This window comes from Homo sapiens, chromosome 9 (genome assembly GCF_000001405.40).
Source record: "Homo sapiens chromosome 9, GRCh38.p14 Primary Assembly".
NCBI lineage: Eukaryota > Metazoa > Chordata > Mammalia > Primates > Hominidae > Homo > Homo sapiens.
The window spans coordinates 28,515,410-28,542,710 of NC_000009.12; the positions used below are offsets into that span (position 1 = coordinate 28,515,410).

The 27,301-nt window shown below is 35.1% G+C and overlaps 1 protein-coding gene and 1 long non-coding RNA gene across 15 annotated transcripts in view; one reads left to right on the forward strand and one right to left on the reverse strand.

Annotated features, from left to right (window-relative positions):
• LINGO2 (leucine rich repeat and Ig domain containing 2) overlaps positions 1-27,301 on the reverse strand; it is a 1,275,985-nt gene that overhangs the window by 577,793 nt on the left and 670,891 nt on the right. The window contains exon 5 of one of the 14 annotated variants that reach the window (XM_017014303.3): positions 12,292-12,419. The exons of the other annotated variants lie outside the window; for them this stretch is intronic. The gene's annotated coding sequence lies outside the window, so the exon portion shown is untranslated. The remainder of the gene's footprint in view (positions 1-12,291; positions 12,420-27,301) is intronic. 14 annotated transcript variants of the gene reach the window in all.
• The window catches only part of LOC105376004 (uncharacterized), a 57,191-nt gene continuing 54,219 nt past the window's right edge, over positions 24,330-27,301 (forward strand). Inside the window, exon 1 of the long non-coding RNA XR_001746641.2 lies at positions 24,330-24,418. This is a non-coding gene — a long non-coding RNA (uncharacterized LOC105376004). The remainder of the gene's footprint in view (positions 24,419-27,301) is intronic.

The window sequence follows — 27,301 nt, forward strand, 5'->3', positions numbered from 1 at the left end:
GTTAGCCAGGATGCTCTCTATCTCCTGACGTCGTGATCCACCCACCTCGGCCTCCCAAAGTGCCGGGATTACAGGCGTGAACCGCTGCGCCTGGCCAAGAAATACATTTTGTAAGGCTATAGTTGCCATAGCCTTCAGTGGAGGAAGTAACTGCAGACGTAGTGGAAATACCAAGAGAACTAGAAGCAGAAGTGGAGTCTGAAGATGTGACTGAGTTGATGCTATCTCATGATAAAATGTGAATAGATGAGTTGTTCTCATTAAAGAAAGTGGTTTCTTTTTATGAAGTCTACTTGCGGTGAAGATATTGGGAACATTGTTGAAATGACAACAAAGGATTTTAGAACATTAAATAAACTTTGTTGATAAAGCAATGGCAGGTTTTGAGAGGACTGATTCCATTTTAAAAGAAGTTTTATGTGGGTAAAATGTTATCAGAAAGCACTCCATGCTATAGACAAATCTTGTGAAAGGAAGAGTCAATTGATGCAGCAAACTTCTTTTGTTGTCTTATTTTAAAGAAATTGCCGCAGCCACCCCAGCCTTCAGCAACCACCACTCTGATCAGTCAGCGGCCATCAACATCAAGGCAAGATCTTCCACCAGCAAAAGGACTGTGACTTGTTGAAGGCTCACATGATTGTTAGCATCTTTTAGCAATAAAGCATTTTAAAATTATGGTATATACATTTTTAAGGCATAATGTTATTGCCCATTTAATAGACTATGTTATACTATAAACATAACTTTTATATGTACTGGGAAACCAATAATTTCATGTGACTTACTTTATTGTGTTGTCCCAGAACTGAGCCTGTGCTATCTCTGAGGTACGCCTGTATATTTAATCTCTCCCCACAAATGTCAAGGGAGCTTCTGATATAGGTAGGATCATTTCAAAATGATTTTGTGATACTTCACTCTCTTTACAGAGAGGACAATAAAAACTACATTTAAGTTTTAACAGATAATTTTTAGAAATAAGAGAGAAGTGCTACGACTTCACTGTGGACTAAGCCAGTCTTTGGTGGAGATGGAGCCACAGCCTGTTGGTTTTAGGGACACAGGTCCTGCCTGGGTGTGGTATCTCCCTGCCTGGGTGTGATGACTCCACTTCTTCCTAGTCAGGGGACCTGGAAAAATTAAATTCTGCAACCTGCTTTTCCAAGTCTAAATAGGTGATGCCAATAATATCTACTTCATAGAAATGAAATTTTAAAAAAATTTAAAACCAAGGTGTAAAAACCACTGAGGACAATATTTGATATTCTCATCAACATCGCTGTTGTTGCAGTGTTACTGACACTGTTGCTGTTGTTGTTAATGTTACTGAAGAACACTCTATCCTAAGAAGTATTCTCTCAGGTTGAAATATCTTCTTAGCTAAATCTAGAATTGGGATCAGATGATTCATAGATACACTCTTCCTGTGCCAGACTCTATGAGATATCTGATAATATTAAAAATGGAAGGTCTGACCCTACATTATTTTTTCTTTCTCAAATGTTAGTGACAATGTCTATTTAGAGCAATTTCAAAGTAATGTCAGGATGTCATGGGCACATTTTGTCAGCATGGATCTGTGGCAATACATACAACTTGGTTTTCAAGGTGCTGAGACAACTTGGCGAATATCACTTAGGCCCTTCGTGCCTGGTAGGCAGAATAACTACCTTAATTTTTCAAGGTGATTAAGCTGATTAAGTAAGAACACTGTGATTCTTCATTCATTCGTCTTCACTTAACCAGACAGAAAGGTCTTTCTTACAGACAAATGAGTATAAGTGGTGTGACTTAATCCTCCTATTCTTTTCTTCCCCCTCCACCCCCACCACAGCTGCCACTCCTTCTAAAAGAGCCAGATCTTTAATATCACACTAATTCAAAGACCCTCATTTCAGAGTTGTGAGATTCCTCTTTTCTCTTTGTAATTGAAAACATCTAACAGACTTTCTAGGAAGCAAATGCTAGAGCACTAACCTCTGAATGCTATTTAATCACTCCTTTCAATCAATTTACATGTTTATTTATGAGAATTTCTGTACCTGTTAAGTGCTAAATTAAAAGAATTGGAGGGGAGGAAGACACTATTAGGAAAAACCCAGAAAGTAGTGCTACCTGAAACATTTATGAGCGTCTACTGCAAACACTCTTAAAAACTGGTAAATTGCATTTTAATTATTTTGTAAATGTACTGAAATTAAAGAGCATTTGGAAAGCAGTCATCTAGAGTTGAGGAGGTACAAATTAATCACATGGTTACAATGAATATTCAGAAATTCAGGAATCCTTAATGGAGCAATAATAATTTTCAAGCAACATTAGTACTTCTCGGCACAGGCTTAGGGCTGCTTGAAGCATATTTTCACACTGCGGAAATGTTTACTCTACCCAGAAGCCTATTTTCCCCAATAGAAACACAATGAAAATTCAAACACAATAAATCATCCTCAAGGTACAAAGATTCAAATGCCACAAGTGCTTTGATTCACTCTGCTTCAGGGGCGGAATTTTTAAATTGAAGAACTTTTAAATTTGTTCGAACATAGCAGTCTGGAAATGAGAAACGCAAAGCCAATTGGATTCCAAGATCTTATTTCTGTGTCCCTCTGCATTACCCTTGGCAGTGAGTCACTGGCATAACAGATAGGGTCCCAAAATGTGATGTATGGAGCAGAGTCATTTTACCTCCACAGCCAGCAGGAGAGGCTCAGAGAGATTACAACTTGGAGAGGACTCAGAGGTGCCCACAACTACCACCCCATTTTAAAAATGAGAAAATGAACCTAAGAGATGAAGTGAATTAATTCTGGTTTTCAAAGAGTTAAAACAAATTAAGAAGAAAAGACAAGTTTCCTGATTCCCAGCCTAGTTTCCATTCCTTTCCACCATTCAATGAAATATATGAAGGTCATATCTCATATCTAGTTATAATATAGGTTAGTACTATGTTCTAAACACTCATGTGTCACCTCCAATTAATCAATCATTTATGAAGTGTACCAGAATATGCAACTCTGAAGTATGTCATTTCAACATAGGGGTTACTTGGAACTAAAGTCATATGAAAAATACCAGATCCAAGAAGGACACTCTCGACTTACCTTTTTCTTCCTTAAAACAGGAGATAAAAATGTTCATGTGAAAGATGCTCCTTGAACCAGGAGAAAAGAAACATTCTTTGATGATGAATCATAGCTGAGAGAATTCTGCACAGACGGGCCTTATTAACATAACTCATCTTTTAAGCTCCTCCATATAATTTAATTGCTTTTTCAAAACTTATTATTCTTTGTCCAATTCAAACTGGACAAAGTATATAAGTATATAAGTGATTGACAATAATTGCTTCGTTGGGCCTACATTTCCTTTTGAGGGCTCCATGTCACATAAAACATTAAATTTGTATGCTTTTCTCCTGTTTATCTTATGTCAGTTTAATTCTTAGGTCCAGCCGGAAACCTAGAGAGAAAAGGTAAAGTTTTGACTATTCTACTGGCCTGGATTTATCTAACTTGTGTTGTACTTTCTGCTTTTCTTGTACTGTTGCATCCTATAAATACTTGCCTTTTTAATGACTATTTCACAGTATTTTTTAAATGTTTGGTTTGTTGTTGTTTTGTTTGTTTTTTGTGTTTTGGAGACAGGGTCTGACTCTTGTTGCCCAGGCTGGAGTGCGGTGGTATGATCATTGTTCACTGCAGCCTCAACCTCTTGGGCTCAAGTGATTCTCCCATCTCAGCCTCCAGAGTAGCTGGGCTACAGGTGTGTGCCACTACGTCCAGACAATTTTGTATTTTTTTTTTAGTAGAGATGGGGTTTCATCATGTTGCCCAGGTTGGTCTCAAACTCCTGGGCTCAAGTGATCCCCGGCCTCTGACTCCCAAAGTGCTGGGATTATAGGTGTGAGCTACTGCACTTGGTCACACAAGATCTTGTATTTTTCTCTTTTATTGTCTTCATCTCTTAAATAAGTTGTTCAGGTAAATAGTAAGAGCTAGTATCATTGATGTATCATTACTTAGTTAAGACTTCCCTTTTTGGAAACGCTGAGCTATATATAGCTTTTAGATGTTAAAGCATATATAGAACATTTTGTACTCTGCTCAACAAATCATTCCTATCCTCTGTACTGTGGTTGCTACCATCAAACTTTTAAATCATGTTTATGTAAACCAGTGATGCTGCAAAAAGTTACAGCCCCATAAATGAAGTTGTAGAGTCATAGAACTGCCAGATAAGAAATGTTACCTGCACTATACATCCTTCACCACATCTACAGATCTTCATCAAGAAAACCTTTCTGCAAGGCAAGACTGCAGCTTGTCTTTTACCCTCACTACTGGGGTTTTTGACAGAGAAAGAGTTTATAATTTCGATGAGGTGAAATTTATCAAATTTCCCATTTATGGATCATGTTTTTGGCATTGAGTCTAAGAAGTTTTTGCCCAGCCCTTGATCCCCAATTTTTTTTCTGGATGTCTTATGGTTTTACGTTTTGTCCATAAACCATTTTGAGTTTACTTTCATATACAAAGTGAGGGTTAAGGTTAATTTTCCAGTTAAAAAAATACATATAATGATGCTATTAATTTCATATTTTGATTTTGTAAACCATAACATATCAATTTGTTTTCATTATCATTATTAGCACTATGAGTTTGTCTGTAAAATCATTTGGGTTTTCAACATAAACATCACATGATTGGTATACAAAGATAGTTTTACCTTAGCCTTAATTCTTATGCCGCTTTTGTGTTCCTTTTACATTAGCTACAATCTTCAGTAGAATACTGAGTAGAAACTGATATTGCAGGTGTCTTTGTTTTAGTCTTGACTTTAAGAGTACTTCTAAAATTTTATTATGAATTATGACGATGTAGGTTTTTAAGTAGGTGACATCAATAATTTTTTACTAGTTTATTAAGAATTTTTTAGTAATATTGGAATGCTCTTTTACCAGATCTTTGCATAGTTTCCTTCTTTATGACATTTAATATCCATTTATTACCTCTTCAGAGGGGCTTTCTAAAACTACCTTAGCTAAAAAAATCTCATTACTCTATTTGTCCTTATTGTCTTTGCTTTTCTTTTTTAAGGCAGTAATCATTACTTGATATTTGAAGATTTTATTGTTGATACGTTACTTGTCTGTATCACCCACTAGAATGCAAGTTCCCTCAGGGCAGGTATGTTATTTCTTTTATTCATCTTTGTTTCTCCAGAACCTAGAAGACAGCCTAGTACCCAAGAGGCATTGAATAAAGAGTTGTGGAATTAATAAATTATTGCATTCCACCAATGCTCAATAATTTAATTAGACTAATCAGCTAACACAGCTACTATAGTAAGGAAGTAGTATATACTATATTTTTACATTTAGTAACAAAAAGCATGAAGGTACAATAATTTTTCAACTTTTTCATTAAATCTCCTTTACATATGCCTTAGAGCAGGAATATGATAAGCACTAATTAGAAAATATTAGCATTGAAGATGTGCCACACAATAGTACCTGCATCACTCTTTGATTCCTATATTCCTGTGCTTTTTGGATCCTCAGCTTCTCTGTTCTCAATGGCTGGATGTGTGTAAAATGTTTAAATCCCTACAATTAAACTCCTTCTCAATAAATGATTTTGTCTTCCCCTTTGAGAGTTTTAGGCCCAGTAGAGCCTAAAATTGGAGGGAATACTAATCCTCTGAATTATTTGTTATGACAGTAATATCATTCCGTTGTAGGTTCTTTTGACATGTCTTAATAAAATCAAAATTTTAAACCGTGTGGGATATTCAAAGCAAGATAAAAATAAATGCTGCTATTTTTGATAATTAAGAGGGCAGTAGAAACATCGTCTCTGAAATTCAATAGATGATCTAAGGCAGCTAACTTTCCTGCTATACTATTCAAAACTGTAGTGAGGGTATGAGTACTAAAACTCCAGGAGGCGACACCACTGTATGTAGACAGGGTTCCTACTTACAATGCCAAACCTAGAAATAGATTCATGAGGCCCTATGGAAGTGGGTTTGTAAGCCATTCACCAATATTGTGCATGATGTGTCCAAATCTGAGGAAAAGATATGGTAGGCCTGTGGCAGCCAATTAGTCATGTTCTTCCCCCCATTTTTCCTTCTGAAAAATGTAGAATGACTAACAAAGTTGGGGGAAAATCCCCATAATTTACAAACACTGAGGTTGTAGAAAGAAACTAGAATATGCAAATTTTATGCAAGTGGGGTGTATGCAGGTGCACTGGATTGAATAGTGTTTTCCCCAAAATTAATGTTCACCAAGAACCTGGGAATGTGACCTTATTTGAACATAGCTTCTTTGCAGATATAATCAAGTTCAGATGAGGTCATACTGGATTGGAATGGGCCCTGGTTTAATGACTGAGGTCCTAATAAGAAAATGGAAATTTGGGCACAGATACACACAGAGTAAAAACAGCCATGTGAAGGTGGAGACAGGTTGGAATTATGTGGGCACAAGCCAAGGAAAGCCAAGGATTGTCAATAGCCACCACAAGCTAGAAGAAGCAAGGGAGGATCCTTCTCTGTATCCATCGAGGGAGCATGGCCATTACAACACCTTTGGACTTCCAGCCTTCAGAACTGTGAGAGAATAAATTTCTATTTTTTAAGTTGCCCAGTTCATGGTAATTTGTTACAGCATCTCTATGAAACTAATGAAGCAATTAAGACAAGCAAAACTTCTATGACAATAAGACCAGAAAAGAAGAGGGGAGTGCAAGAAAGCTAGCAGTGGCAAGCTTAGAAATCAACAGCAAATACTGAATTTTAGAAAAAGGTGATCTCACATTAGTAGGAACTCTGTGAAAAGGACTGTGATCAGATGAAAAGCTATCATTGTGGGCAACAAAGAAATAAATCAGAAGAAATGGCCAGAGGAAATCAAAGGAGACAGATCTCAGAATTTCCTCTTTATAAAGAGTAGAAGTTCTATTCCATGGTACCAAAGACAATAAATCTGCGAGGGGAGTACAGAGCTACTAGTGCAAACTCTCTTGAACTCATCAGTTCTGAGAGGCAAATAAAGTATGATTGTATTTTAAAGAAACACTCCATCAGAGTAGCACCAGAAGAGTCATAAGCAGAAAAATATAAAAGTCTTTGTCACTTCTAAGGAACTTTCTTCTAATAGTTGGTATGGAAAAATACAACTTATACAAAAGGAATATATGCAATCAAAATAAATATTTAAAATCACAATTGAAATATATAAAATATGATAAGAATAAGTAATGTGGGAAAGAGCAGCACAAATTCATTGCAGATTCTTAAAAATTCTTACAAGAAAATTATTTCTACAGAGCATTCGAAATTTGTAACCCAATATTCCATCACAAATTATAAATGAAGTACATAGAACCTATGAAGGAAAACAGCTAGGCAGGAGGATATTAGTGATTTCCAGGCAAGAGGAAGGGACAAGGAACCTGTAGAAATCAGAAAAAAAAAATATGGGAATAAGTTCTAAGAAGCCAGTGAAAGAAAAGACACAGGGAGAAACAGAGTAAGGAATGTAGAAGATATAAATACATAAACAAAACAAATGAAGCAGAAAAAAATGTATAAAAAGCAGTGGAGTGAAAATATAAGAGATTAGGCGAAGAAAATCTAACACAGCCATAATTTAAATATCTAAAAAGGCCATTAAATTAATAGAAAATGAATGTAAAAATAAATTCAATAAATTTAATCCAGGAATAAAAGTTGCTTTAATATCCTAAAATAAATGAACACAAAACACCATATAAATAGAATAAGGGGCAAAATCCACATGATCCTCTCAGTAGATTTAGAAGTGCAGCTTGAAAAAAAAATTAACATGCTTTCATGATAGAAATAGCCAACAAGCTAAGAACAGAAGGGAACTTCTTCAACCAGATAAAGAGCATCTACAGAAAACCCACAGCTCATATCATACTTAATGGTGAAAGACTTAATATGACCAGAGATAAGACAAGGATATTCACATTCCCCACTTCCATGCAATATTGTATTGCAGGTATAAACAGGACAATTAGGCAACAACAATAAATAAAAGAACTCCAGACTAGAAAATAAGAAATAAAACTAACTGTAATCTTAGAGGACATAATCTTACATACAGAAAATTCTACTAGTTCTATTATTTGAGTTTAACAAAGTTGTAGGACACAAGATCAACACACAAAAATCAATTGCATATACACACATTAGCAATGAACACTCAAAAATAAAATTAAGAAAATAATTTCATTCATAATGATTTAAAAATAAACAGATATAAAATTGACAAAATAAGTACAAGACCTGTACATTGACAAGCACAAAATATTATTGAAAGAAATTAAAGAAGATCTAAATAACTGGAAAGACATTTCTATGGATTGGATATCTGAATATTATTAAGATGGCAATTCCGTACGAATTGATCAACAGATGCAACACAATCCCTACTGGAAACACAGTTGGCTTTTTTTTTTTTTAATTCAAAATTGACAACCAGATTCTAAAATTCAGGTGGAAATACAGGGGATTCAGAACACCAAAAACAATCTTGAAAATAAAAGATAAAAATCAGTGAACTTCCAGATTTTAAAACTTACTACAAAGCTACAGAAATTATAACAGTGTGGTACTAGTATAAGTATAGACATAGAAATCAATGGAATAGAATTGAGACTCATTATAAGTCCCAAACTTTAGGGTCAATTGATTTTCCAACAAAGGGGCCAAGATAATTAAAAGTGAAAAAGCAGCTTTTAACCTTTAGTACTAGAACAGTTGGATAATACACATGAAGAAGAATGAAGTTCAATGCCTACCTCACACCATACACACAAAAATGAGCTAAAAATGAATAATAGAATTAAATGAAAGAGCAAAAGCTATAAGAAGAAGGTATAGGAGAATATGTTTGTAACTTAATTAGGCAAATGTTTCTTAAATATAACATCAAAAGCACACATAATAAAAGAGATTAGACTTCATCAAAACTAAGCATTTTTCTACTTCAAAAGACATCTTTATAAAAGTCAAAAGTCAAGGAAGGGCCGGGCGTGGTGGCTCACGCCTGTAATCACAACACTTTGGGAGGCTGAGGCCGGGGGATCACAAGGTCAGGAGTTCAAGACCAGTCTGGCCAACATGGTGAAACCACATCTCTACTAAAACCCAAAAAATTAGCCAGGCATGGTGGTGTGCACCTGTAATCCCAGCTACTCGGGAGGCTAAGGCAGGAGAATCGCCTGAACCCAAGAGGCAGAGGTTGCAGTGAGCAGAGATCACGCCATTGCACTTTAGCCTGGGCAACAGAGCAAGACTCCGTCTCAAAATAAATAAACAAATAAATAAATCAAGGCAAAGACTTGAAGAAACTCTTACAATTTAATACTAAAAAGATAAACAATGGAATTCAGAAATAAGCAAAGGGATCTTTAAAAATAGGTAAAGAATATGAATAGGTACTTCTCCAAAAATGATATATGAATCACAAATAAGCACATGAAAATATACTTAACATGATTAGTCAATAAGAAAATACAAATCAAAACTTCAATGACACACTAAAAAGATTAAACAATCCAATTCAAAAATCAGCAAAAGGATTTTTAAAAATAGCTAAAGATACAAATAGGTATTTATCTAAAAAATATATATGAATCACGAAAAAGGACATGAAAAAATACTCGACATCACTAGTCAATAAGGAAATGCAAATCAAAACTGCAGTGAGATAACACTTCACTTCTACTAGGATTATTATAATAAAGACAGACAATAACAAATGTTTGCAAGAATGTAGAGAAATTAGAACTATCATTGTCAATAGAAATGTACCATGGTTCTGGACTTCTGAAACTAGGTTTTCAGTTTTCCAAAATGTTAACCATAAACCTACCCTATGATAGCAAAATAAGTGAAAACACACACCCATGAAAAACTTGTACATGAATGTTCATAATAATCAAAAAGTGGAAACAACCCAAATTCTCATCAATTGTTTAATGTAATGAAAAACAAAATATGGTATACCTATATAATGGAATATTATGCCACAATGAAAAGGAATGAAGTAGTAACACATGCAGCAATATGGATGAACATTGAGAACATTATGCTAAGTAAAAGAAGCCAGTCACAAAAGACCACATATTGCAGATCCTATTGATAAGAAGTGTCTAGAACAGCAAATCTATAGAGACAGAAAGTAGATCAGTGGTTGTCTAAGTGGGAGTGTATGTGAGGGAGGCAACAGAGTGACTTATTTTGAGATGGTGACATTTTCTAAAACCAGATCTTCATAACTGTCACAAAACTCTAAAAATATGTTTTTTAAAACGCCATTGAAGGGCCGGGCGCAGTGGCTCACGCCTGTAATCTCAGCACTTTGGGAGGCCAAGGTGGGCGGATCACGAGGTCAGGAGATGGAGACCATCCTGGCTAACGCGGTGAAACCCCGTCTCTACTAAGAATACAAAAAAATTAGCGGGGCGTGGTGGCGGGCGCTTGCAGTCCCAGCTACTCGGGAGACTGAGGCAGAAGAATGGCATGAACCCGGGAGGCAGAGCTTCCAGTGAGCCGAGATTGCGCCACTGCACTCCAGCCTGGGTGACAGAGCGAGACTCCGTCTCAAAAAAAAAAAAAAAAAAAAAGCCATTGAGTTACCCACCTTATACTGGTGAACTTGTATGGAAATTACACCTCAATAAGGACATTAAAATAACAAAATCAATAATACAAAAACGGAATCTAAAAATTGCTATTGGAAAGGTACACCATATTCTGGAAGAATGTTACTTGGAACATCAAGACACGTCCTAATAAAATTATTATGCTTTAAAGAAAGAATCCTTTGAGTGCTCAGCCAGAAAAATAAACTGCTTTACAACAGATAGAAAAGCAGGTTTGCATCAGGCTTCTCAACAGCAACATCCAATGCCATAAAAGAGCAAAGCAGCATCTACAAGATACTCAGAGAGACTAGCTTCCATCTTTCTGTTGTAGAATCTTAGAAATGTATTAGCCTTTCTGGCACTTCTGAAACTAGGTTTTCAGTTTTCCAAAATGTTAACCATAGACCTACCCTATGATAGCAAGATAAGTGAAAACATTCAACCCTGAAAAACTTGTACACGAATGTTCACAATAATCAAAATTGACATTTTGGGTAAATCTAAATGAATTCTATGGCCTTCCTGCAATATTAAGGTAATAGAGGCTGAAAATACCTGTGTTTCTAAAGGCAGACCTTTTGGCCAAATGGAAACCCACCACTGTGTATAGATATCCCTGGAAGCTCAAGTACCTTAATTTGCTAAATGCCACATTACAGGATGCCATGTGGCCTGCCCAGCCTTTCCAACTAGGCTTATTTTGGTTTTACAACGTAATAGATTTTCCTTTCCTTATTACTGTATTTCATAAATGAATTATGTATTATTCTAAGAGATTATAGCAGCTTCCCTAAAAATTATAGGGAATGTTTACCTACTGGGAGCTATCAATATATGTGTCCTTTATAATGTAGTTTAAAGAATGAGCCATCTTTTTATGAATTAAATATTACATTATTATATTAAAAGTCACATTTTTAATTGACTCTAAATCACTCTGGAAGACGACTTAAAAGTAATTTTCTAGAAACATGTTTGTTTTCTTTTACACAGAAGTAGAGTCATTTCATACATTCCAGCTATCAAAAGAACGTGGAGATTATGTAGTATAATCTTCTCGCTGTACAGGCAAGCAAACTTGGTTCACTGGACAATTGATGACAATTAAATAAATGCAGAGCTGAAACCAGATTCTAGGTATCTGCTTGTTTGTCTAATGCTCCTTAAACTGCCCCATAACCTCCCATTTTCTTCTGTTTCTGTCTGTAGTCATAAACATCTCATTAGTTTATTCATTCTGTAAAAACGTATTCATTATCCACTATGTGCCAACTATTCTTTGAGATTCAGGGGATGCAGAGGTAAAGAAAATAGGTAAAGTCCATGTTCTCAGGGGCCTTTCTTCTCTGATCATATGTGGCTTCTGCAGAATCTCATTGAAATGGCCTCCCATTCCTGCTGTTTTTACCATTCTTCACCAAGGTCCATCTTCATCAGGTACCCAGGGCATTTCTATTCTCTGTCTCTCTAAGTGTCAAGGAAAACAACCCAAGTAGCCTTATAGCCTGAGGCAGACCTTCCTCCAAGTCTTCTGTGTTCCCCTCACTGCCCCAGTGTGGACGACATACCCCTGCTCTGTGCTCCCTTAACACTGTGTGCTTACCTCAGAGCACCACAACCTGGAAAGGTATTTATCTGCTTATTTGTCACTCTTTCTCTTAAATTATGACCTCCTTGAGGGCAGGGACTGGTGTCTTGTTTTTTCCGATATCTCTAGTGTCTGCACCTGACCTGGAACAGAATGAGTGCTGACTAAATCTGTTGTCGATTAAATTGAGGATGTCTGCACAAACAAAAGATCTTATATAGGGCTTTTAAACCTTACTGAAAATGAGTTTAAGTAAAGGAATTCTTCCTCTTAGGGTCATTTGCAACTTACTAGTTCCAAACTAATTATCAGTAAATAATGTCAAAAATATCCAATTTATTTTTGGATGATTTTCTTCTCCACACTGATGTCATGTTTTTCTCAATGCAATGTGTCAGCAAGGGACACATCTCATAGCTGTGGAAGAATACAACCATCTCTTCTACTTATCCTACTTAACTCAGGATAAGATGCTGATGCTAGAATTTTCACAAAACAGAGACAAGTTCTGTTCAACTTCTGAGAAAATTACTTCGGTTTTCTGTTAAATGCCAAATTGATTTAAAAATTGCCACATGATAAGTTGCAGCATAAAGCAATGCACAATTCAGAACTGGGGTAGTTGTCAGAAGCTATCTTTCAGAACTGAGCTGTTTTCATTTGTGATTGACTGAAGGAGGTCTATGGTCTAGTTTCAGAAAGAGAAAACAGCAATAACAAAACCCTCAGCACCAACATGAAATTCTACACATGCTGGTTTAGTTATTACACAGGCCAATTTATAATTCTTTCTCAGCTGGAATCTGAAATGGCAGTCAATAAATTAATTCATATCTGAACTTTTATCCTTTCAGTCATGCTCTCTAATTGAACACTGCTTACATTTTGTATTGGGAATGTAAAAACACTCCAGGATATCTTTGCATTAAAGGGAGGTACATGAGTTGTACTACATAATTGTCTTTGAATTGTATTACAAATAACTCTACAAGAGATACTAAAATTTGTCCTTACTATCTACTAAATACTAAGATAAATAATGTCAACACACCATCTACTATTCTCTGCAGCAAAGGTGTGTGTGTGTGTGTGTATTGTTGATGTGTATATATCCACATATATATACACATATATGTATGTGTTTGTGTATATATATTCAAATAAAATTTGATATTTTTAGTTTTGTCATAAAAAATCAACATTATTTTCTCAAATAAATCACTAGCTACTTTAAAATTCAATATCATTACTTTATCTGAGTCACTAAGGATTAAGTGTTATTCAAATTATTAGCAGGAATAGTTCCCTGGTATTCTTCCTAGACTTAACCTGAGTATTAGTTAGAATAATTCTAAAGCAGAGGAATAGTTTTAGAAAGTCCTTCATGTTCCATTCTTTCTTTAGGAACTCCTGGTTGAGTCTATCTGCTACCCATCTGGGAACTACAGAGACCATAAACATCGTAATGACCCATTCTCCTTCCAGTACCTCAGGCAGAGTTATGGGAAAGTGAAATAAATATAACATACAATGAATGCAAGCCCATTTTGATTGTGTATTAACATTTATTTATCTGAAATGGAATTCAGCATTAGTGAGACTATGATTAAATTTATATTCTTCTCCATACTAGAGATTACTTAACTATTTAAGGCTCAGTCACCTATGATTAAATGGTTTTGCATTTTAAATATGGTATGTCAGGTGTCTAATACTGTTTTTCACACGTTAATGACTCAATGGATTTATATCTGTTATCCCTTAATATATTCCTAGTTATCAATAAACAATGTGAAATGTCACAGTACAGAGATAAGGTAGATAGACCTAATTGGAAATGGCAGTCTTTCCCAAGGATTTAAAGCCCTAACTAAACTATTCCTTCAGGCAACCATTAAGACCAGTTGCAAATTGCAAATACTTTTTTTTTTTTTTTTTTTGCCATCTCTATTTTAGCTACTGGGTTTACTGCCCTGGGAGTTTTAAACACAATGTCTGCCTTTAAAAAGGTGGATCGGGTAGGTTGGAAAAGTTACATAAATACAAAACATAATGAATAGTTTAAGGTTGAATACCAGTTCTTTCCCAGGTTTACCAGTCTATAAATATAAATGCAAATGAGTACAGTATATGATGAAGTGAAACAGCAGGAAAGTGTGAAAAGAGCTCTAAATTTAAATAGCAAAATTAAAAGAAAAATCCTACTTCTTTTATCTAACTGGTTATTCAATCTTGACTTTATTCACCAACCTCTTTGGGAAGCAGATTTTCCTCTCTAACATAAGGGGATAAAACTTGACACAGTATTTTTCAGCTTCATCGTGTTATGATTAAGGTTGGAAGTAGAAGTAGGAAGTGATTCTTGAGCTTTTTGGGGGGAGTGAAAGCTGGTTGGAGCAGGGTGCACCTAAAATAACCTTTGAAAGATGAGCTGAATTCAGTCTGGCAAAAGCAGGTGAAGGTGGCATATGAGATGAGAAATCATTGTAAGCAATGTCTCTTAATCAGACAATTCCAGACAAGTTTAATAGCACGATGATGGTGATGATGATGACAACGAAGATAATGCAAAATATTTTAGATTATAACAATACATCACCACCATCACCATGTGCCATCTGCCATTCCATTTTGAGCAAATTATCCCTCAGGCAATAGTTGCACTTGCTAGATTTTACACCATGTACAATACAGTTTGGCTCAAATAAAAACCATCTAAAACTGGAATGCCTTTGCCCCAGCAAAAATAAAAAAAAGTGTGTGATGTCTTCATTAATATGCTAATTTGCCCATTTCCTCTCAGAGTAAACATAACGGCCCCATGCACAGGTTGACCTAATTAACAGTATAAAGTTGTTTCTTTCAAAGTGCACATCCAAGAAACTACTGTGTGAAAAAGAATGAAACCTATAGGGATTTCAGCCTTTATGGAGAAATGGGTTAAAGAAATAGAACTATGATAGGGCTTAATATTGTTTTCAATCACTAAAATAAAAATCAATAACATATTACATAAAGACAACACTAATTATGTGTCAGTAATATTAAAATGTTCACTATTGATTTCCCTCTGCCATCTTCTAATCATGATAAACATCTCAGGAATCCTGCTTCTCTAAAATTTAATTGCTTATATATGTGTACTGTATTGAATATTAAGTACATATTGAAAAACATCTTTTTCTGCACCTAGTCTTTTTTCTAATGTCTCATACCGTTCTTCACAATGTCATATGCCAAGTCCTGCCATGATGCACCGTCACTAGGACTGCTAGATTTAGTAAGTAAAAATATAGTGCCAAATTAATTTTAAATTTCAAATAAACCAAAAAATTAATATAAGTATGCCATATATAAAAATAAATATATATATATATATAATATATAAAATTCCAAATTAATAAGACTGGCATCTTATACTTTATCTGGCAACCCTAACAGTAACTGAAATAATTAAAAATGAAAAAAGATTATTTCCAAGTAAACATTTCTTATGCTTTCTTCATAAAATCCAAAATGACATATGATCAGCTTCCCTCATAGTAATGCTTTATCAAAGCACATATACACAGCCTCTTTTACAAGTATCCCAGGGCCACAGCAACCTCTGTCCCTTCCATCCCACACAATCTCGGGAGCATTAAGGCATTGGTTATTTTTCCTACATTGTCCTCTTTTTCTCCCCAAGTTTCAACACTATAACATTCCATTATGCTTTGTCTACATTTTTTCAATTTTCCAAACACCAGTATCCCTTTTTTCTAGTTATGTTTAACAATTTGCAACATCTGACTTCATAGTTTTGAAGTGTAGACAGAAGGTAACTTGTGTGTACTCTACTAGAATTTTACATAAAGAAAACTTGCATTTTTGAAGGTTTATCTTATTTAAGTATCTATAGTTTTATTTGACTCAGTCAAAATACTGATAAAAGATCAGATCAGAAATATTTATATAAAAATTATTGTCAGGAAAATACCAGTACAATATATATTTAATTTCCAAATACGTATTCACTTTATTTGTATTAACATTTCTGAATAAACAACACGGATTTTGCCATTTACTAAAGGCCAGCTTTTGAAATGGGGGCCAGTATAAGGGAAATTTAGTTCAGATCCTCAAGGGTGAAAAAAAAAAGCTTTTGTGTGTGAAAATTCTGGACTATTTCCAATGCAAAACTTTCAGATGCACTGAATTATTCATTTGTATTTGGAAAATATTATGGGCTAACAGCTGAACAAATAAAATGGCATGTTAAAATTGTAGCTATTGATATCTAAAAGCATAAAATGGATTTTAAACTGTTATGGGAGCATTTTACCTTATTTTACAAACCGGTAACGTTCCATTAGGAGTCATTCAGATTTTTAAAAATGAGGCAAGTATAAGTAACAAGATAACTGAACTGAGAGCAAGGACTCTCATTTTAATTTCTTATACAAACAGAAGCCATTATGATTTTTAACAGACATTTTCTGCCTCTATTTTCTCATCTGAACAGTGGGGATAATATCTTTCAGACAGCTTGGGGGCTGAGAAAAAGCAAGTTGAATAGATTTCTCCTATAAATCTAGGAAAGAAAAAAGAGAGGTTTCATATCAGCAAATCAGGAGAATATCCTGTTTTAGTCCTTTTCTCATATTCAGCTAAAATAGGTTGTGAGAATTCAAAGTCCTCAAACTGTTTTTTGTTGTTGTTAATATTTTTTGTGGTTCACATGATTTGTCCTCAGATTTTTCTTTCTAAACCGACTTTTTTTTTTCCAGAAAAAGAAGGGAGGCCTTTGTCACTTTTATTTGTTACACTGGGAAACAAACAAGACAAAACAAAGGCTTTGTACCTGCCCTGGGATTGAGGGTACTTTTTCAAGCTAACACTCTCTATGTATTTATCATATACTTATTCATTTGGTGGGGAGGTTAAGCTTTCCAAGGAGAAAGAAAAAGCAGGAAAACCTCAAGTGACAGTGCTCTGATTCTCCTCTAGACTTCCAAGCAGTTCATCCTGAGAAAGGAAAGTTAACCAGCCCAGCCCGCGTTGAAAGGCTACTTAGTATGCTTCTGATTGTGGAGGATTGGGGACCAGGTGTCAAAGTACTCCTTCTGACTACAAGTATCTCTACCCTGAGAGTTCCTGTAAATTGGGTTTTCTTTTCTATTATACATTTCTAATTACGTTTACTGCCTCTTATAGACCGAATCCAGCTTGCCTTCTGTCAGTCTTCACAAGGCAATCCTTTGCACCCTGTTGATGACATACTTGGCTCTTTGGTCCTTGTGATGGTTAATACCGAGTGTCAACTTGATTGGACTGAAGGATACAAAGTATTGTTCCTGGGTGTGTCTGTGAGGGTGTTGCCAAAGGAGATTGCCAAAGGTGGACTGGGAGAGGCAGACCCACCCTCAATCTAATCAGCTGCCAGCACGGCTAGAATAAGGCAAGCAGAAAAAGGTGGAAGGGGCTGACTTGCTGAGTTTTCCGGCCTTCATCTTGCTCGGGTGCTGGTTGCTTCCTGTCCTAGAACATCAGACTCCAAGATCTTCAGCTTTTGGCTTCTTGGACTTTACACCAGTAGTTTGCCTGGGGCTTTTGGGCCTTTGACCACAGACTGAAGGCTGCACCGTCCGCTTCCCACTTTTGAAGTTTGGGGACTCAGACGGGCTTCCTGATTCTTCAGCTTGCAGATGGCCTATTGTGGGACTTCACCTTGTGATCCTGTGAGTCAACACTCCTTAAAAATCTCCCCTGCACACATCCATCTATCCTGTTAGTTCTGTCCCTCTAGAGAACCCTGACTAATACAGTCCTCTTTAGTTTATCTTATAAGGAAGGAGTCAGGACATAAACACTGCTTTGAAGTCCTGATGAAGTCAAGATTCTCAAACTTAGGTTGATGAATCGCAATAGGTGTGGCCTATGTTATCTGTCAGTGCTGAGGTTTGAAACTGACTGCAGACTATATTCCTTTATCACAGGGTTGTGCCCTTGAAGAGGCTGTGTTGAGAATAAGAGATTGTTCATAAAGAAGGCTTGAATCTAGTGGGAGTTTAGTAAATGATGGTTAATATTTACTTCAATATTTCCAGCACCCAGAACAGTACCTGAATTAAAAGACATTCATGAAGTATTTGGTAAATGGATGAAAGTACTTAGCTTAAAGGTGGTAGTGATTTTTCTGTTCATGACATTATTATTTATTTATTTCAAGTTTAAATATCTATTTTGGACTGCTAGGTTACAAATTAAATTATATACACTTGAAGATCTTCTGTGACCTATACATTGATAAACACATCTAATAGATTATTGTTGTTAGGCCTTTTCAACTTAATAGAAAAGTATGAACCAATTGTTATAAGTGAAAATATGTTTAGCAATTTATTTCCTTCTTATTGAACTGGTTAAGCATACCCCTTACCTGGGTACACAATTAAACCTTGCCTTGTTTTCATGAAATCTCATTCTGCTTTATTTATTTATTTATTTAGAGTCAGGGTCTTGCCCTGTCACCAGGCTGGAGTACAGAAGCACAATCATGGATCACTGCAGTCTCCAGCTCTTGGGCTGAAGTGATCCTTCCACCTCAGCATCCTGAATTGCTGAGACTACAGGCATGTGCCATCACTTCTGGCTTCATTCTGTTCTTTTGGATCCTTAGATGGTTGACTACCTAAATACAATTACTATATACTATAGAGCATGCACTGTTTTTACTGAAAACACATTGGGGTCATTCCCAGGAGTACATTTGGATCCTCTGGGATTTGTTTTTTAAATCTCTTATTCCACAACTAACCAAGATATCGTACTATAGCAATTCTGCCTTGATTATTTTTTCATTTCCTACTAAAACTCCAAAAACTTGTCATTCTTAGCTCATTTTCTTTCTAAGAAAACTTTCTTAATTTCTTCTCAATTTTTATGGAATTCAGTGCTGCTTACTTATTATAATGTTTGGGTCCCTTAAAAACTCTTAGATACTGAAACATTAGCAAACTAAGAAAAGCCATTAAAATTATTCTACTGAATTAAATATAGAAACTTAGAACAAAGGAATAAGAATTAACATTGTACATCAGAAAAATATCTGTTTACACTTGAATCTCAGCTGTAGTGCATCATCCATGGAGCTAAATTTAAAGGTTTACTTATTATTCATGGCACATTATTCTGGAGTTTTGTCAAAAATTAAAACAGAGCTGCTCTATTATTGTATATCAATCAAGTAAAATAAGAAATTTGTTTGTATATATACATGTGTATGTATATACATACACACACTTTTTAAAAGCATAAATGTAACAGTAATTGGCTTTATGTATTTAAAGCTTTAACAATGACTTTACTATTTGACCCCGGAATTCTTCTCCGAGGAAATTACCACAGGGAAAGTATTAGGGATGGGTTCATGCATTTATGTTTACAAATATTTATTGCTTTGTTCATTACAATAAACACAGGAAAAATCTAAAATTCAACAATACAGGAATTTTGATTTTAATTTTATCATATTTATACAATGGATTACTAGGTCACATTGAAAAGTGTGCCTTACGAGAATGCTAAGAGGTCAATGGACATAATCTAATTCAAAGGTGAAAAAATACACTTTCAAAATTATAATTAATGTTTTTAAAACTTTTGCAGGGATCATGAATTATATTAGTATTCTGATAAAAGACATCAATCCTTTACCTAGAAAAAAATGCACTAATGCAAACAAACAACAAAATGGTATGCAGTTGGGAGAAGAGGGTGAGATTCCCATAGCCATTCTGGGGATGCTAGGTAAAGGAAGCCTGATATATATTGCCATGATTTTCTTAAAAATAAACTGTATCTATTTTTTTTTAATTTTATACACATATATAGAAAATGTTCAGAGACTTCAGCAGCAAGGTAGGCTAAGACTGTCCAAATAGATTTCCTTTCTGCTACAACACAGAGAAATACTGAATAATACCACATCCATGTGCACACACACACATATGTACACCACATGAGTACGTGCATGCACACACACACACACGTGTGGACGCACACACACACACACACACGGAGCTAAACTGGACAGCTACACTTAACAGAAGAAAGTGGACATCTGCAGGCATAGAACAATAGGAGAAGACAAATGCAGAAGAAGAAAGGTTACTGATATCATAATAATCTTGACGTTTCAGAGGAGGATTTAAACTTTTCACCTGGATTTGTAATGCTCTTGGAGATGAGACATGACCTTTGGCCTAAGCCAGACAAGAGAGCTGGACCTGAGATTCCAGCACAAAGGAGATCATCATTGGATAGACACTTGATGAAGTTTTATTTTATTATTTTTGTTTTTAATAATTAGATGATTTAATTTTTTTTGGTCACTTAAGATTCACAGGTTTGGGGTATCCTTGACTAAAAATGAAATTGCAAGAAAGAGAATAGACTGTTCTAAAATAATAGACATCAGAACCCGAAGATACACATTGCCAATAAAATATTTTTAACTCTGTGCTTAAGTGTGGTGGGAAAGTTTTAGAGATAAGATATCAAATTTTACATAATTCTTACTTTGTAACTATAATTTCTTTTACTCACTCTTTTAATCATATAAATCAAAATCTCACAGACATTTACTAGTTAGGGATTTTTACCCCTTACATAAACAAACACTGGCTTCCTAAAGGGAATATTTTGGGTTGTCATAACTTCATTCAAGCATTTTTCAGTTAAGTTAAAAGCAAAAGTAAAATCACTGCAAAAATATAGCTGCCATTGTACATCTACTACTGCTGAGTAATAATGCATGAATGAAGACAGCCCCTTACCCATAGCCAGTCGCTTGAGAGAAACTTGAATAAGCAAATCAAGCACAAGCAACAGAGGCAGACAGAGGATGATTGCATGGGTCGCTGAATAATTGACATTGCCTTAACAGTTGAATATTTTCAGTGTATTCTAATTCTGAGAAAAATTGTGATAAATATACACTTTTTGTCAAAATCTAGTTAAGATATCAACAACGAGCAATCAACTTGACAGAATCTGAACAGACCATATACCAGAATAACAAGGCTCTTATAAGACAAGACATTTGATACTATGTAACTTTTGGGGAAAAATTCTGAGATTCCTCAGACTCTAAACTCAAGGCTGGCTCCTACCAATAGTGTCTCTGTTATGGTTTGACTTGTGACCCCCTCAAATTTGTGTACTGAATTCTTAACCCTAAGCACCACATTATACGAGCTTATTTGAAAATAGGATTGTTGCAGATGCAACTAAGATGAGGACATACTAGAACAGAATGGGCCTCTAATTCAATGTGACTAGTGTCCTTATTTAAAAAAAAATAAACATAGGCATGCACACAGGGATAACACCATGTGAAGTTTAAACAGGAAACTGACATGATGCAACAGAAGACCATATACTCCAAAGATTGCTAGCAAACCACCAGAAGGTACGAAAGAAGCATGAAAAATACTCTCCCAAACAGACCTCAACATCAGAAGGAACCAACTTGACCAACAATGTGATCTCAGACATCTTGCCTCCAGAACTGAGAGACAATATATTTCCATTGTTGATACCATGCAGTTGTGGTACTTTTATACATCAGCCCTAGCAAACTAACACAGTCTCCTTCAAAATATACAAATCTCCTCTCATCCCTTTCCCCTTCATTAGCACGGTTTCTCTATTGATTCTTGCTAATATTTAGAATACCAAATTATTTGACTCTTTTGAGGCTTTCCAAAAACTAATTTAACTTTTTAGAAAAATAGTCATGGACTTTGACTGTGGTAAACAAGGTTGCTAAAAACAACTTCCTTTTATAAACAGAGAGGAATGCTGGATAAAGTAAATAGAAAAAAAAAAATGTTTTAAAGAGACCTAATTTAAAAGGAAGGCCAATTAGAAAGAGAGCTGAAGAAGAATTTAGTAAACTAAAAAACAGAACTCAGGAAAGTATCCAGAATTAAACTCAGAGAAAGACGTAAAGATAATAGAAGTGAATACATAAAAGGTATGATGAGAACTTATAATGTGTGTACCATAGCAATTCTATAACAATAGAATAGAGAGAATAGGGGAAAAGAGGCAATATTCAAAGTGGTGGTGAATGAAAATTACCCATAATTGAAGAAAGATTGAGTCCTGAAAAAGTGTCAGTATCAAAAGTGTTAAATTAAAAAAAAAAAAAACTTAAACACTTCTTTTAGAAGAAATAAAAATAATCCAAACTTCCCAAATTCAAGAGAAAAAGTTGCCCTAAAATTCTAAGAAATAATGACTGCCGGATTGACAGTAGTGTTAGAATCAACCACAGTTAACAAGACAGTGAAAAAATAGATTTTAAGTATTAAGAGAAAATATCTGTCAACTTAGAATTGTATACCTAGTTGGGATTTTAATCAAGAGTGAGGGCAAAATAGATATTTTTGTCCAAGGCATTATACTCACAGATTTCACTGAAAGAATACCAATAGAAGTACTTCAAGGGAATATAATTTAACTCGGAAGAAAATAGTGGAGTATAAAATAAAAATAAAACAATATAAAATAAAATAGGAATATAAAATAAATTAGTAAATGTATTGTCTATAAAAAGTATTGATAATGATGAATTCTGACGTCATAAATTCAAAATATAGATATGGAAGATGAGACTGGTGATTGAATTTAAAAGATTAAAGTTTTTGTATTTGGAAGAGGTTGATAGAGATATTCAGTCGTGACAGACATAGTTAACACAAGTATTAAATCATTAAATTCAAAACTGTCAAAGTATAAAAATAGAATGCATAATTTTAAATTAATAGAATAAAGGAGTAAAAAAGAAACTTGACTAACGTATTAGTCCACTTGTTCTGTTATTACAAAATACCATAAACTGGGTAATTTATAAACAACATAAATTTATTTCTCACAGTTCCAGAGGCTACGAAGTCCAAGTTTAAGGTTCTGGCATGTGCTGAGGGCCTTCTTGCTGTGGCCTCACATGGCAGAATTTGGAAGGTGCAAGAAAGAGTGAACCCACTCCCACAAGCCCCTTTTATAGTAGCATTAATTCATTCGTGAATGTGGAGTCCTCATGACCGAAACACCTCCCGAAAGTCCCCACCTCCTAACATTGTTGCATTGGGGTTTTGGGGTTTGTTTCCAACCTATGAATTTGGGGAGTCATATTCATACCACAGCAGCTAATAAAATAGATTGAGAAAAATAATTAAAAGAAAGCAAAGGGAAAGCATGGCATAGAAAAAAATAAAATAAAAAAATCCATATATATTAATAGTCTCAAAAATGTATGTGGATGGAAATTTTCTGTTTAAGCTCAGAGATTTTTCAATTATATTTTTCTTAAAAACAAATAAACTCGTAATATGTATATAAAATACATACCTAAATAAAAGATATTCTTTCAGTAAGGTTGAAATTAAAGATATAAAAGAAGATATATTTGATAATACTAATGTAAAAAAGGTTATGCAGCCATATTAAAATATATCAACACAGATTTTAAGTAAACTACATTATTTTTATAAAGTGGGTCTTTTAATATATGTAAGTTACAGAATGGTAGATATTTGTGGTATTAATCAACATATCCTATATGTCTAGAATAGTACCTGGCACATAATAGGCATTCAGAAATGTTTGTTTAGTGAATGTTTAATAAGTACTAAAAGAAAACATTAGCAGTGAGTTAATACAATTCTCTTCATATATAATTAACAACTTGGTTTCAAAATATAAATGAACACACATTATGTTTACAAGGTATGTGTGCACACACACACATGAAATTTTAGCAAAATAAAAAAAAAAACAAGGCAAACAATTTGTGAGAAATTGTGAACCTTGTAATGAAATCCTCACTACCATCTGCCAGACTGTGTTACCTGTTTGAGCTAGACAATGTGACTGCTAAATTACAGGTACTGTGACTCATACCAATAACACTGTTGTGTAATATCATGCTTGTGTTCTCATCTTTGCTTATTTAATAATGGCATGAGGTGCATAGATAAATCAGTCATCTTGTTTAGCTGAGTCCCTGATGCTAAAAGGACAAGGTGATCTTCAAATTCTGTTTTCAGTGTGATCATGTTGCTGTCTCCTCCACATTCTTCAGTAGCATCTGGTAAGCATGCAATGTGAATTGCTAATTCAACTCTAGCTGTAAAATTAGTCTATGTTCAGCAGAGAGTGTAGGAGCAGCTGGTAAACAATATGAGATCCCACAGGCTCCACTAGCTGAATATACTTCAACAGGATGCCCGAGTCATTTACTTTCCTATCTGTTTCTCTAGTGATGCTGCAAAATTTGGAAAGGGTTTCCAGACAGACAGCTAGGGTTAAGTGGTGTGGGGATGAGGGAGATAGGAAGTCTAAAAGACATCGCACAACTCTGAAAAAACAGTTTGATAAGACTGGAAACACAGGACTCGGACTCTAACCTTATTTCTTTTTCTATAACCATCATGGAAGGCTACACCTATGGTGAACTCTCCCTTTATACCATTTTTCAGTTCATTTTTTTTTTCTTTGAGACAGGCTCTCTCTCTCTTTCTGTCTCTCTCTCTCTCTCTCCCTCTCTCTCTCTCTCTCTGTTACCCAGGCTGGAATACAGTGGCACAATTACAGCTCACTGCAGCTTCAACCTCTCCAGGCTCAGGCGTTCCTCCCATCTCAGCCTCCCAAGTAGCTGGGACTACAGGAAGGTGCCACCACGTCCGACTAATTTTTGTATTTTTTTGTAGAGACAGGGTTTCATTATGTTGGCTAGGCTGGGCTCGAATTCCTGACTTCAAGGTATCCACCGGTTTCAGCTTCCCAAAGTGCTGGGATTACAGGTGTGAACCACCACACTTGGCCCATTTTTCAGTTCTCTTTTGCATTTTTCTTCCAAATAATCTAAAGAAATAATACCATCACTATTATCACTCTTCATAACAGTTTTCAATGTGTTTGTTTAATAAAGGAATGATCTTAGTCACTAGGACTTAGATATAAAAATGTATAGGCGTGATCATCACTCCACCAAGTAAGTGCAGAGTTTAACGATTACATTAATTCCACACTATAGAAGATTAGATGTGTGTTGCCATCACAAAGTATTCTAGTTTATTTGTATTTTGTCATTACAATGTCATAAGCTGTAGTCTTTGCCCAGGTGTACACCAACTTAACCTACTGGACTGTGATCAGAGTGTACATTAACTTTTGTTTCTTCTGTAGTTCAGTTAAAAACAAAGTCTTTTATTTCTACAATGGTTTCATTTTCCTATCTAAAGCCCAGGTCCACTCCAATATACTTGTTAGAATAAATTATTTGAACACATTTCTGATAGCATTCAAGAAGTTTAAAACAGAAAGGAACAATAGATAATGCAAAGTGAGAAAGAGTGAATAATAAAAATGTAGTTGCTGATATTGATGAAATGTGGTAGGAAGATAAAAACAACTCAAACTATGCAGTATTTCCCAACAGAAAACCATTTCATTCTATGTTTAAGATAATATCCAGAATGCCTGCAATGAGGTTCAGTGGTTAATTTACCTTGAAATATTGAAATGAACTCTGTGATCTTTTAAGACAGAGAGTACCATGGGTTTGGCAGTAGGTTTAAAAAAACACTTCTCTCCTGGAGGAGGGACACATATTCTATCATAGGTTTATTTGCTTTGGTAAAAATAACAGGTCCTTATGAGGATGACTGATGTAATTAGGAAAACAATTTTTAAGAACAACATTCATTGTCAGAAAAATAGATTCTCAACAAAACATGAATAGAAAAACAAGAGCAATTTTTATAATTGAGTCAACTTTCCAGATGAGGAAGAAAACTTCCGATGTGTGGCTTTCTAGTTTCAGAGCTATTAAGAGGTCTGGGAAGCCATGTCCACTAATTGTAAACAAACAAACAAAAACAAGTAATAGAGTTGGTGAAGAAATAAAAATGTGCAACTCACTTCCTTGAAACAAAATGACAAATATGCTTATTAAAACCAAAATTGACTGCATTTCCTTGGGTAAAACATAAATCATTACAGGGAGCAGATGGCCAATTTGCTATTAGAAAAATAGAACCCACCTATTATGTTCTTGAATATGGTAAATCAGTTTCAGAGCTGAATCTTGATTAGAGTTAAAATTCAAAAACTTGGTGTATTCTGAAGTAAGATATATTGGAAACATATCTTAGTAACTTAAGAGAGGCATGGAGAGCTGAGACAGGCTGTTTTCAGAGGAGAGAAGCTGCCTCCATAATATGACTGCAGACTGAAGCCATTATAGAATGGGTGCATTCCTGGAAGCACACACTAAAACAGAGTTTGGGGTACAAAATGCTGATTAGGCATTGATATCTGTGAAAAGAAGGGTAAGAAGCAGGATTAGGAAGGGAAAGAAGTTAAATTGTGATGCCAATCAACAAAGCATCTGCTAGGGAACTCTGCAGTGGATATTACCTTCCAAAGTTGTCTTGCAATGGATGGAAATGGCCATACCTTTTCCACTCACTTATCAGGTGCTGGATGGGTAAGAGGTACAGCAAGTCTGTCCTCTATAGGTAAGGTAGATCCTGAAAAAAAAACAGGCAGCTGCAAGCTATCTGCTGATAGCTCTCCCTGCAGCTGGACATCAAGGTCTTCTTGAGTCAGAATCTGGGCAATACATCTTCCTATCTACCAGAGAGGCCTAAGGAAAGATGGCCCTCTGAGAGGCTCTTGTGCCAGGTAAGAGATCCAAATACATGAAGATTAATGATTATTGTAGTGAATTGCGGATTTCTTCCCTTACCTAAAGGCATTCCCATTCAATTAAAAAAGAATTGAACTCAAACTCAAACTGGTAGTATAGTATACAACACAAGGATAGCCAGAAAATACCAGAATAATGAGGCCTAAGAAGAAAATTTAAGTTCTTTTTTTTAATGGTAATTTATATAGCTGATCCTTTACCCCATCACCACTGATTAACCCAGAAGAGTTGTTCTCTTTGGTGTAATTAAGAATTATTTAA